The sequence below is a fragment of the Homo sapiens genome, chromosome 20 (assembly GCF_000001405.40).
Source record: "Homo sapiens chromosome 20, GRCh38.p14 Primary Assembly".
In the NCBI taxonomy this organism is placed as follows: Eukaryota; Metazoa; Chordata; class Mammalia; order Primates; family Hominidae; genus Homo; species Homo sapiens.
In genome coordinates, this window is record NC_000020.11 from 36362453 (window position 1) to 36375904 (window position 13452).

Sequence of the window (13452 nt, forward strand, 5' to 3'; positions counted from 1 at the left end):
ACAGTGTCTGTCCACAGATGGCCAGCAGAGCTGCTGTAGGAATTTGGAGCTCAGAGGTGTGAGCTGGGCTGGAAAGAGAAATGTCACATCTGCGACAAGGAAGGAGGGAAAACCCAGAGCTCATGACAGTTGGTCAAGGAATATCTCCAGTATTGAAAATATTTGTTCAATGAAGTATTCACGGAGCACCTCCATGTGCCAGGTACAGCGTGTGGCAATGAAACAGACAGAACTCTCTACCCTTCGGGGCTGACACTTTAGTGAGAGGAGCAGGCAATGATCAGGATAAATTATGCAATTACGTGGCCTGTTGTATAATGATATGGGCTGAGAAAAACAGGAAAGCAGGCAGGGACAGGCTCAGGGAATGTGCTGTGGAGGGCTGGGGAGTGTAGCAGACACACAGGTCACACTTGCTGAATTCATTTGAGCCTCACAACCACCATATGAAGAAGGCTCTATAACTACCCCCATCTTAGAGATGAGCAGCTGAGTTGCAGAGAAGATATTTGCCCAAGGTCATGCAGCCACGTAACTGGCAGAGCCTGGATTTTTACTTGGAGTTCATACTTTTGAGTCCTCCTGCTAGGGTAAAACTCCCTCTCAATGACAAGATCAGGTCTCAGCAAAGATTCTGAAAGAAGTGAGGGGGTAAGGTTCACAGACATCTGAACACAATCAACATTCCAGGCAGAGCAAGAGCACGTGCAAAGGCCCTGAGCTAGGCACGTGCCTGGTATATTTGAGGAACAGCCCAAAGGCCAGCATAGCTAGGGCAAAAGGAGCAGGTGGGGGAGGGAACCAGAGGTGGTGCAGGGCTGCCTGTGGCGTCTGCAGGGCTGTTAGCTTTTACTTGAGGTGCAGTGAGGCCATGGGGAGTGTGGAGCTGAATACAAGGAGTCATAGCAGCTTTATACTCCTTGAGCATTTCCTCTGGCTTCTGTGCTGGGAGCAAGGTCAGAAGCAGGACACCAGAGAGGGCATGAATAATCCAGGCACGAGGTGACAGTGGCTCGGTCCACAGCGGTGGCAGCAGGGTGGGGAAAGGAGGACCGGTGGCACTGCTGATGGCTTGCGTGTGAGAGGGGAGGGTGGGAGAGACCTCAAGTTTGGCTTGGGCCTGAGTGGCTGGAAGGGCAGGATTCCATTGACTGAGATGGGGGCAGCTGTGGAAGGAGCCACTTCATAAAGAACTTTCCATGTCCATTTCCCTCTGAATCCCTGGCTACCCTGAGGTAGGTATTGAAACTTGAGCAGTTCCATGATTTGCCTGGGATTGCTTGGCTGGAAGGTAATAGAGCCAGGGCCAGAAGCCGTATGTGCATCCTAGGGTTTGGAATTTTGTCTCATTTATTCAATCAACAAACATTTCTGGAGCACCTCCTGTGTGCCAGGCTGATGGAGGAGGCTGTGTCAGCCAATGATCGTGGCAATGGTTACCTCACATCAGCATGAGCAGTGGTGAGGAGAAGCCGAGGGAGCTCTAGGAGCCAGTAACGGGCAGGAGGGAAGGGTGCTGCAGGGCCAGGGAGGGCTTCCTGGAGGAGGAGAATATGACATACAAGGACCACAAAGGACCACAGGTTCCCAGAGGATAACTGCCTATTGGGAAGTTGCAGAATCTTTTTGTTTTGTTTTGTTTTGTTTTGTTTAAGTGTTAATAATTGAGATATAGAAGCTGAGCATGGTGGTACACACCTGTAGTCCCAGCTATTCAGGAGGCCAAAGTGGGAGGACCCTTTAAGGCCAGGAGTTCAAGAGCAGCCTGGGCAACATAATGAGATCCCCATCTCTACAAAAGTTAAAAAACTAACTTGGTGTGGTGGCTGATGCCTGTAGTCCCAACTACTTTTGAGGCTGAGGCAGGAGGATCCCTTGAACCCAAGAATTTGAGGCCAGGCCTGGGCAACATAGCAAGACTCCATCTCTAAAGAAAAGAAAAAGAATTGAGATATAATTCACATACCATACAACTCACCCATTAAAGTGTATAGTTAATGGCTTTTAGTATATTTACAGGGTTGTGTATCTGTTACCACAATCCATTTTTGAGCATTTTCATTACCTCCAAAAAGAAACCCCACACCCCTTAGCTGTCACCATCTCTCAGTCCCTGTCCCCACACTGGGAAGCCTGAGGCAGCCCAGATATACTTTCCGTCTGTACAGTGGCACCTGTTCTGGATATTTCATTGAAATGGAGTCATGCCATGTGCTGTCTTCTGTGTCTGGCCTCTTCCACTTAGCATCACATTTCAAAGTTCATCCATGTTGGAAGCTGCAGAATCTTCAACAGCATCACAGATGGCCCGGACCCAAGAGACTGTATAATGGTGCTTCCCGACCATTATAAAGAAGTGGGGCCAAGCTCAGTAGCTCATGTCTGTAATCCCAGAACTTTGAGAGGCTGAGGTGGATGGATCACTTGAGGCCAGGAGTTCGAGACTAGCCTGGGCAATATAGCGACATTTCATCTCTGCAAAAAATACAAAAATTAGTCAGGTGTGGTGGTGCATGCCTGTAGTCCCAGCTACTCAGGAGGCTGAGGCAGGAGGGTCGCTTGAGCCCAGAAGGTCAAGGCTACAGTGAGCTATGATTGCACCACTGCACTCTAGTCTGGGCAACAAAGTAACACTCTGTCTCAAAAAATAAAAAAGAAGAAGAAGAAGGGGGAATCAAGGAGGAGACTTGCCGTTCTGTCAGCAAGGAAGAGGTGGGGAATTTGAGGAGGCCTCGGGCCCCTAGGCCAGGGCCCTGCGGCACCCTGCCGTGCTGGGCACAGGCCACCTCCCTTGGTTGCCACTTCTTTTCCTTCAGCTTTGGGCTCTGGGTGAATTTGGCTAAAAGTGACAACTCGGTCAGGAACGCATCTTCTCAAACACCGGTCTTTCCCGCCCTGGCAATTTTCACACCTTATGGTGAATCTTGAAATCTTTTATGCATCTTCGAGAATTTGTGTCTACTGACTCAGAATGTTTTGGGGTTTGTATTTTCTTTTTCTGCTCCTTAACACTTTTATTCAGGTGGCTATGCCTGTTTTTCTTGGTTTGGTGATGTTGTCCCTGGGGGAGGCTGCATCGTCCTGGAGTCAGGTGCCTGGGTTGGAGGCCCTGCCCTGCCTCTTCCTGGGTGTGTGGTTGTCGAAGCTCTCCGTGCCTTGGATGCTTCCTTTGGAAAATAGAGATGACATTGTAAGGCTGTGGCAGGAAGGAAATGAGGTAAAGCCTGTTACAGGTTTGGCACTGAGTAGATTCTGGAGGTTTGGTTCTTGATCAGATGCTAAGGAGAGATGGTGAGGCCTTTCAGGGCCCTGAGATAGCAAGGGGAGAAAGGTGAGCCTCCCCGACCAGCGACTGTCCCTTTCTCCTTATTCCTCCCATCCCAGAGCCCCCTAGACCTGGACCTCTCCTCTCAGGGCTCAGACGTGGAAAGCCTGAGTTCAAATCCCGACCTACCACTCGGGTTCTGTGTCCCCACACCAGCTAGGCTTCTTCTGTGTCTCAGTTTCTTGACCTGTAAAATTGGAGGGGAGAGGGTGGAGGGTGAGGGGAGGGTGTTCCACTGAGGCCTCCAGGGCAGCCAAAAGGCTTCTGGGAGGGGTGTGGAATAGAGGGGCCTTTTTCTTCTCCCTAGAGGACTGGTTCCTGCTGATTCGTGGGTTTTTTGTTTTTGGTTTTGGTTTTTTTGAGATGGAGTCTTGCTCTGTCGCCCAGGCTGGAGTGCAGTGACACCATCTCGGCTCACTGCAACCTCTGCCTCCTGGGTTCAAGCAGCTAATTTTGTATTTTTAGTAGAGACGGGGTTTTACCATGTTGGCCAGGCTGGTCTCAAACTCCTGACCTGAAGTGATCCACCCACCTCAGCCTCCCAAAGTTCTGGGATTACAGGCGTGAGCCACCGCACCCAGCCTGGTTCCTGCTGATTTAAAGATCCAGGCAGGAGCAGTGACACCTGTTCAGGGGAAGTGGGTGGAGAGGGACACCTGGCTTCCCTCCGCTCTCACACGAGAGTGCCACATGGAGGTGGTGATGCAGTGAAGGGCCTCTTAGAAGGGCCTTTATTGGGCTTATTTCACCTGCACTGTCTTCTCAGTCCTCACAGTAGCCTTCAGAGAAGGCACTCTTGTTCCCATTTGGCTGGTGGGGAAACTGAGGCTCAGAAAGGGGAAGCTGCCTCCCTGGTGTCACCCCGCATGTGAGAGGCTGAGCTGGGATTTGAACTCAGGACTGCATGACTCCTACCCCTTTCCCAACTTCTCCCATCCGGGGAAAAGGAGGAAGAAGCAAGACAGGGAAGGATTTGAGACTTTGGAACCCAGCTTCCCGACTGCTGTGGGGATTCTGTGGGTGGTGGGAAAGGCACTGTAAATATGCATGACATGCAAATTTGCCTCTAAAAAAACAATGTGGGTGCTCACATGAGCCGGGATGCCAGGGTGCTCTGGAAAATGTAGTGTTGTGCAAACACTTGGGTTTCTATGACCACTGCTCCATGTCGTCTCCTTCCCTCGTGTCCCCAGGGCCAGTCTAAGGGTCTCAGGTGGAGGGCTTACCTCCAGCACCTCCTAATCACCATTCCTCCCCATTCCTGCAGGCACCCGTGCCTCCCCTCTGCCAGGAACCTTGGGGCCTTGTGTGTGACCAGGACCTGGTGGCCCCCGGGCGGTGGCAGAGCCCCTGTCCCAAGCTGCTTCCTGCCGGCACCTCTGATCAAGTGCCTAGAGGGATGTGTGTGCCAGCCCTCGGTCCAGTGCCCGCTCCTGAGCTGACTCCTGCTGGGCCCCGACAGCTTGCCGTGTTTCCTGTGCCTGTAGCTCCCTGGTTGGTAAGTAACTGCGTCCGCAGGCTTTGTCTCCTCACCAGCCCCCCATGCTTGGCACAGTTGGGAAATGCCCAGCCTCACTTCCACTGGCACCCACATGCTGGCAGAGGGACCTCAGTCAGAGTTTGTATATGTCTGGGCACCATTTATAGTTCAATGGCCTGTCTTAGCCAGTCCTCCCAACAACCAGGAGGTGCGTGTGGTGATCACGCCCATTTTCCAGAGGAGTCAGCCTCAGAGAGGGGAAGCCACCTGCTTGGGGTGCACAGCAAGCCCAGCTCTGTCCACCTCAAAGGCCAGCTCTTGCCACACCCAAGCAGGCGGGGACAGGTTGTGCACATAGGCTCAGGACAGGAAGGGAGCCATGAGCTGTGCTGGAGGCCATAGAACCTCTGGGGCCCCCAGGGCGGCTTGAGGGGAGGCCATCAGAATTCTTGAATCTTGGGGGGCCCTACATTCCTGCCCCTCTGGCCTGTTCTCCCCATGCTCCTCCAGCTCCCACTTTGCCATCAGGATGAGGTGCTGGGCCTGCCCCGTCTCCAACCGTCTGTCTGGGGGTGCAACCACAGTGCCACCACTTCACCATGCTGCTTGCATCTTTTCTTCACCTTCCGCCTCCCAAGGCTCTGCTGGCATAACAATCTAGTTCACAGATGAGGAAACAGAGGCTCAACCAGGTCAAGAGGCCTACGTGCAGGCTCACCCAGCCACCACGAAGCACTACATGGGGCCACTGGGGTAAAATCTGCCTCCTTCTCTGGCCTTAGCTCTGCAAGGACAAAGAACAACCACTTCATTCCCTTCTGGCCAACTAGCAGCTGGCCCCGTGCCTGGCATACAGTGGGTACCCAGTAAATAGCTGTGGAAGGAAGGAAAGGGGGAGAGAAGAAGGGAAACCTCTCTTACCTCCCTCCACCCAGACACCAGCAGGACCTGAGCGCCTCCTGGCCTTTTGGCCAGTGCCAGTCCCTGCTGCCCCAGATGGCTTGCGGTGAGCCCATGCCCTCAGCAAGGTGGCCAGCCCCTCTGGTCCCAATTCTCTCATCTGCTAGAGCCTGCCCAGCTTCCCTGATGGGATGGTTATGAGAAGGGAAAAGATTCGTAAATATGTATAATATGCAAATGTAATGGGATCTTTTGTTTCTTTAACCCTTGAAGTTCACTGTAGATAACGTATGTAGAAGTGCTTCTGTGAGAACAAGGAGCTGCCCGCTGGGGTGGCGCCAGCCTTATTATGACTAACCATGAAAAGGGCCCCATTAATTAGCTGCCCCACAACCTGGCTCTCCCGACCCAGCTCCTAGTCTGTTGTTGCGGCTGCAAATAGCCGTTGCTTTTGGCTGAGAAGCTGGTGCAGGACAGGTGATAAGGATGGCTTGGTCTGAGAGCTGTGTCTGTGGGATTTAATCATTTGCAAACACACCTTATTGTGCTCAAGGAATGCAAGGGCCTCTCCAGGGACTAAATGTGTAATGAGGGCCAGCTGAATAACAGCAAGCATTTCTTGAGCAATTACTATGTGTTTGGCATCGCACTAAATGCTTTGCATTTTTCGTTATTTCAATTAAATTCCCCCATAACCCTGTGGAAGGTGAAGGGGGAGACTGAGGCAGGGACTTAGGGGTGAGGGCTCATCTGTTAACAGCCAGCATTTCCTGAAAATTACTGCCATCCAGTGCCCACCTCCACCCTCCGGGCCAGGCTCTGAGAACGCAGCAGAGCAGACAGCCCCTGGCGTGTGTGGCCCAGTGACGGAGAACGGGATTCCTTGGCACGAGCTGGGTGAGCAGCCGTCAGCATCGCGTGGAAAGATGGAGGCCCGGGCGGCAGCGAGGGAGGTGTTACTGCTGCTATTTTGCTAACAAGCTGGTTATTTAAAGAACAGCCGAAGCCGGAGCTAGAAAATGGGATGAGGTGTCTCCAGGGCAGAGGCAGCCAGGAGTGCTGGGTCCTGAGACCCAGAGACCTGGTTGAATCACAGCAGAGTGGCCACACAGTCATTTATTTTTTTTAATCAACTTATTAACATAGTAATGGCTGCCGGGCATGGTGGCTCAGGCCTGTAATCCCAGCACTTTGGGAGGCCGAGGCAGGCGGATCATCTGAGGTCAGGAGTTCGAGACCACCCTGGCCAACATGGTGAAACCCTGTCTCCACTAAAAATACAAAAATTAGCCAGGTGTGGTGGCAGGCGCTTGTAATCTCAGCTACTTGGGAGGCTGAGACAGGGGAATTGCTTGAGCCCAGGAGACAGAGGTTGCAGTAGCCACTGCACTCCAGCCTGGCCAATGGAGCCAGACTCTGTCTCAAAAAATAATAAAAACAATAGTAATGGCACCATAAAGGCTGGACAAGGATTGCCTTGGTGGAGAAAAGAACATTGGGAAGGGAACCTCAGGGGGTTTCTGAGGGGCCAGCAGTGACCTGGGTGGTGGTTACATGACTATTTCCTTTTGATATTTTACTGCAGTAAACATTTTTGTTTTGTGCACTTTACTCTTTCTATTACATATCACAGTAAAACGGCTAAAAAACAATTGTAAAAATAATAGCTAATGTTTATTGAGCACTTACTAACAGGCTGTTTGCTAAGCATTTTTTATCTCCTTGAATCCTCCTGGATTCTTTTATTCTGCCCATTTTACAGAGGAGGAAAGTGAGGCTTGGAGAGGTAAAACTACTTGTCATGCTGCCAAAGAGTGGAGGAGGTGAGATGAGAAACCAGACAGACTGACTTAAGCCTCATGTGCAAGGATCGGGGTCCAGGAAGTTCCCCGCAAAGGGCCAGGGACTCCTCCATTTTTTCCTCAGACATGTCTGTGCCTCTTCTATTTTTAAGGCTTGGGAGGCCAGGCAGGTGTGTGCAGTCATAGGCAGCAGATGAGGAGCCTGGGGGTCTCCAAGGGGACAGAGCAGAGCATTTAGCTGTTTAACAAGTATCAAAGAGCTGGGTGCAATGGCTCATACCTGTAATCCCAGCACTTTGGGAGGCTGAGGCAGGAAGATGGTTTGAGCCCAGGAGTTCATGATCAGCCTGGGCAATATAGTGAAACCTCATCTCTCCAAAAAAAAAAAAAATTTAAATAGCTGAGTGTGGTGGCTACTTGGGAGGCTGAAGTGGGAGGATCACTTGAGCCCAGGAGGCAGAGGTTATGGTGAGCTGAGATTGCACCACTACACTCTAGCCTGGGTGACAGAGTGAGACCCTGTCTCAAAAAAAAAAGTATTAAAGGATAGGAGTGGGACGTTCCTAGGGACAGGCCTGGGGAGAAGGCCAAGGCATACTCAGGTCTCATTTAAAGTAATAAAAGAGGTGGGAGAATGGCTTGAGGCCAAGAGTTCAAGACCAGCCTGGGCATCATAGCAAGACCCCCTTCTCCAAAAAAATTAAAAAAAAATTAGCCAGGCATGGTGATATGTGCCGGTAGTCCCAGCTACTCAGGAGGCTGAGGTGGGAGGATCACTTGAGCCCAAAAGTTTGAGGCTGCAATGAAGTATGATCATGCCACTGTACCTTAACCTGGGCAACAGAGCAAGACCTTGTCTCTAAATAAATAAATAACATTAAAAAATTTTTAAAGGTAAAAAACGCCATCCAGGTGAGACAGGGTCAGACCCACCTGTGAACTCACTGGATGGGGGGCCAAACTGCAATTTTCTGAGGACCTATTTTGTGCTAAGCACATTTGTTCCCTTCTTTAATCTTCAGAACAACCTTGTGGGATTAGCAGTATTGGCCCCATTTTACAAATGAGAGGACTGAGACCTAAGTCCACACAGACAGTGGGTAGTGGAGCTGCTCTGCCAGACTCCAGTGCCTTGTATCCTGTGCGTGCAGAAAGCCTTGCTTGGTGCTGGGGTCCCTGGCAGGGCAGGCATCTGGGCATAGATGCTCCAAGCAGCACATGGCTGGAAGTGAGTTCCAAGGCAGCTCTGTGGGGCCCTGAACTGACACTAGGGACATGTCATGGAGCGGGGTAGTCTGCTATGCTGACGGAGCATCTCTTCATTCATGCGTTCCAAGGACATCTCTTGAGTCTAGTCCCTGCTAGTCCACACCCTTCCTGGAGCACACAGGCTTGGGGAGGGACAGATATTATACAGTCACCCAAAGACATACACAGAATGAGGAGAGACTCCATTGGTGCAGTGAGGGAAATTAACGTGGTGACATCATGAAGATGAACCGGTAGGAGACCTGTGTGACATGGCACTGTCCAAGATGGCCCTCTCTAAGGAGATGGCACTTGAGCTGAGACCCGAAAGGATGACGTGCATCCAGCCGTGCTGGACAGTGCTCATGTAACATCGTTGCTGTTAGCAGGACAACTGGGGACAACCCATTTGTCCATCACCACGGGACCAGTTAAAGCCATTTTACTGCAGCCACACCGTGGCGCCTGCTACAGCTGTTAGAAACGGGGCCATGGAGCTAAATTTATTATTGCATAAAGAACTTCATAGTGTGTCGTAGAGGTTTTTGTTTTTTTTTTTAAAAAGAGGTTATAAAACAGCATGGGTAGCATTATATCATTTCTGTAAGAATTATATGTGTTTCTGGAAACTGCACAGTGCTCTTCCTGGGAAGTGGGGGCATGGGTGATCTTTGCTTCTTCTTTCTACTTTTCTGGATTTGGAGTCTTTCCTGAGTTTTAGGACTTGTGGGGAGGAACAGAGGATTTTAGGGTTCCCACCATCTTGCCTAGGGTACTTCTTCTCTCCTGCTACCCACCTCAATGGGATAAGGCATGGGCTGGGGAATCAGCAGATCTGGGTCATCCCTTTGACTGTGTGACCTTGGGCAAGTCACTGGCCTTCTCTGAGGCTGAGTTTCCTCTTCTGCAAAACAGATAAGAATAGCGTCCGAGGGTAGGTGTGGGCTTAAGTGAGTAGAAACATGTGGAGGGCTAGGGCAGTACCAGGCTTGCATCCCTGACGGTGCTGCTGCTGTTATGACTGTGACTGCTAAAGGTGGCACCTACCGTGTGTCGGCTTGTCCTGCCAGGGCTCCCCAGGCTTACCTCTCCCTCCGTCACTGGGAGTCAGACCCAGGTAGGAGACAAGGCCCAGGGTGGGCTTTGTCACATTGTCAGCTTGGCTGGGCACAAGGCCAGCTGGACCTCAGGTCAGCACCAACCCACACCCCGCCTCTCTCCCCACCACCTCCCTCCCCATCACCTCCCTCACATCTGCCAGTGAGCATCCTTGCTAGATAAGCTGTGATGGGGACACCCTGGCCCAGGATTTGCTTTTTTTTTTTTTTTCACAACTAGTATACCTGCCCAGGAAAACAGATACTACTTTACAGCCACTAAGAGAATCTTAAATCTCAGGCAGAACAACGTACACTCGTGAAGTCAAACTCTCTGAATCATGGAATCTTAGTCATAAATAATCCGGCAACTGCAAACATATGCATTTTGCAAGTAAGTTCACTGCACCTTTCTTGATTACAGTGATAAATTAGAAACGACCCAATTCTCTGTTTGTGAGAGTTGGTTAAATAACTTACATCCGGCCAGGCAATGCCATTTTCCGCAGCTATAGAAACAGTGCTGTAAATCTCTATTTGTTGACATGGAAACTTGTCCATGGCGCATTGTTGGGGAAAAACAGGAGGTTAAAAATTGATGTATGTTGTGTGACATCCGGATTTGGAATCTTTCCTGAGTGTTAGGATTTGCAGGGAGGAACAGGATATCTACTTAGGTATCTACTGATTTTTTTTTCACTTTTGTTATGAAAAATATATATAAACATATGCGTGCTCCTGCCTAGGGAGATGCTCAGAAGAGTAGTCATTAAACTGTTGATAGTGGCTTCCTCTGGATGGTGAGATATAGGTGAGCTCTATTTTGATTTTTGTTTCTATCATTCAGAGTTTTTTCAAGTAAGGTGATGGAAAACCCACCCCAAACTAGTTTAAACAAAAAATAGATTCGATTGACTTGTAACTGTAAAGTTCAGAGGTCTGATGGCTTCAGGCTCAGCTGGATCCAGGACCTCAGGGCCACCAGGACTTGATTTCTGTTTCTCAACTCTGGGTTGTTTCCATGTTCTCATTAAGCTCTCATGTACAGGTAATAAGATTTCTGTCCAAAGAAATAAGCAAGAATTCTTCCCTGATTGCTCAAACACAAGTCCCAGAACTAAGTCTTGGCCTTGATTTGTCAAATTTGTGGGATGTGCCCACCCCTCAATCAATTGCTGTTGCTAAGGAGAATTTGGTGCTCTGATTGGCAGCCTGGGCCTGTGTACCATCCACCACCAGCTGGGGGTGGGGTCAATACCACTGGAACCTCAAGAGTGGAGAGTGGGGAAAAGTGGCTTCCCCAGAAGTAGATGTAGGCTATGACCTAAAGTAGACCAAATGGTAGCCAAACCCAGCAACCCCCACCTCCTGTAATTATCTGAATTGCCCAAGATGCATGGTTTTCAAAATCAGAAAAAAAACAATGCAACTATTGAAAGGAGTCCTGGCCAGGTGCGGTGGCTCATGCCCGTAATCCCAGCACTTTGGGAGGCCAAGGCAGGCAGATCACCTGAGGTCAGACAGGAGTTCAAGACCAGCCTGGCCAACATGGGGAAACCCTGTCTCTACTAAAAATACAAAAATTAGCCCAGTGTGGTGGCCAGCGCCTGTAATCCCAGCCACTCGGGTGACTAAGGTGGAAGAATCGCTTGAATGCTGGAGGCAGAGGTTGCAGTGAACCGAGATCGTGCCACTGCACTCCAGCCTGGGTGACAGTGAGACTGTCTCAAAAAAAAAAAAAAAAAGAAAAAGAAAATAAAGGAGTCTTGAACCCAGATCTTACGGTCAGAAGCTCACTGAGGCAGCCTTCGACTTTCCTGGAGTCAGAACATTGGAATTTCTGAAGTACCGATTTCACTAGGGAGACATCAACCCTCTCTGTCCTGCCAGGGAGCTGTCCTGGCCCTCCAAATGACTGCAGTCTTTGGAGGAGAGGGGAGCACATGGATGATTTGTCTGGAATGTGAGAGGTGCTAAGGTGGATGTGCATATAGGGGCTGTGGGAATGAAAAGGCCAGCCTGGGGACAAGGAAGAGGCTTCTTGGAGGAGGTGATGCCTAAACTGAGTAGCCAACCAGAGTGCTGGAAGAATGTTGTAGGCAGGAAAAACAATGTGTCAAAGTCCCAGAGCATGTGGTGGGAGTGCAACTATAGGATGAGAGGAGGCAGGCCCGGACCACAGGGGCCTTGAATGCCAGGGTAAGAACTTGGACTTGATCCTGAAGGCAGTGGGGAGCCTTTGGGGGATATTGTGGGATGAAGGAAGTGTCAGTGAGCTCACTCTGCCTTGTGCTGGAAGCATAGCCTGGAGGAGTTAGATCAAGGCCCCACATGGGGAACGAGAAAAAGGACCCAATGCCCCTCAAGGGAGCCTTAGATATCTAATGGTCTAAATTCCTTCCCACCCTGAGTCAGAATTCCTGTCCTGAGATGCCCAGCCACTGCTTGCATACCTCCAGAGATGGGGAGCTCACTCTCCATTTTCTGCACTGCTAGTTAGAAAGCTTTTTCACAGGACCAAGTCCACAATCCCGGCACTGCAGGCTGTCCCCCAAATGACCTGCTGGGAGGGCAGGCAGAAGCCTGCATTTCCAGGTCAGGGGGGTCCAAGATGAGGAAGCCCTGGATGTCTGCAAACCCTGCTGGGAGTTTGAATGGAGGGCAGAGAGAGTCCCATTACCTTGACAGTAGAGGAAGTGTTTAGGCCTTTAGACATACATCTGCTGCTTCAGCCAATTTTACAAATGCCCCTTGCATTTTACACAGAAGGAAACTGAGGCTCAGAGAGGCCAAGCCGCCTATGTGACAACGCAGAGCAAGTTGGAGGCAGGGCTGGGACATGGACCCAGCCTCTCCCCCGCCTGTCCCTTCTGTGGCCCTGCTCCTTGTCTCCTGCCACCCTGCAGGTGGGAGCTGGTCACTTCATCTGCTTGGGTTTGGGCAGCTTTTTTCTGGAAACTCCAGTCATTGCCAGATCATCCCCTGATTCTCTTCTAAATCCTCAAATGTTTTGTGACTGTTTTGAGAGCAGCATTTTTTGTTTCTGATATAGCAAAGTTATGACTTGCACGAGCTGTGTTTTATGGGTCATCTCCAATACTTTATCATGCCCCATGGCCTTCATTTAGTCATTCATCCCCACACTCCACAGACATTTATCAGTGCCTACCATGTGCCAGGTGCTGCACTAGACCTGGAGCTACAAGGACGAATCAGAGCTGCCCCTGCCCAGGGGAAATTCTCAATTCAGCCCAGGAGAGAAGCATCTCCATCAGCGATGACAGGTGAGGCATGAGATATGAGAGGTAAGTGCTGATCACTCAGGGATCTCTGGAGCCAAAGCAGTTGATTCTGTTCCTCCAAGCAGTGTTGAAGGATGAATAGGGATTCTCCAGGGAGAAGCAACTGGGAGGGGCTCTCTGAAGATCTCACCTGCCTCCTGTTGAGCTTTTAGGCAGGAGGGAGTGAGGGATGGTGGGGAGACACAGGGCTAGAGAGGTCGACCAAGGCTGGAGCTTAAAAGGCCTCAACTGTTGGGCTGGGGAGTTTGAACTTGACCCTTAAGGTAAAAGGGAGCCAACGGCAGGTTAGGTCTGGGTG

General features: G+C 50.5%; 1 protein-coding gene across 5 annotated transcripts in view, besides 1 other annotated feature; it reads left to right on the forward strand.

Moving 5' to 3' along the window:
• DLGAP4 (DLG associated protein 4) overlaps positions 1 to 13452 on the forward strand; it is a 222295-nt gene that overhangs the window by 56114 nt on the left and 152729 nt on the right. For all 5 annotated transcript variants that reach the window (NM_014902.6, NM_001365621.2, XM_011528689.3 and 2 more), the window contains exon 2: positions 4593 to 4823. The gene's annotated coding sequence lies outside the window, so the exon portion shown is untranslated. The remainder of the gene's footprint in view (positions 1 to 4592; positions 4824 to 13452) is intronic.
• Positions 5186 to 5834: an enhancer, noted in NCBI's record as "H3K4me1 hESC enhancer chr20:34996041-34996689 (GRCh37/hg19 assembly coordinates)". NCBI's record gives its function as "activates a minimal SCP1, AML or CMV promoter by ChIP-STARR-seq in primed H9 embryonic stem cells {active_cell/tissue: H9 hESC(primed)}" and the evidence as "EXISTENCE:reporter gene assay evidence [ECO:0000049][PMID:30033119]".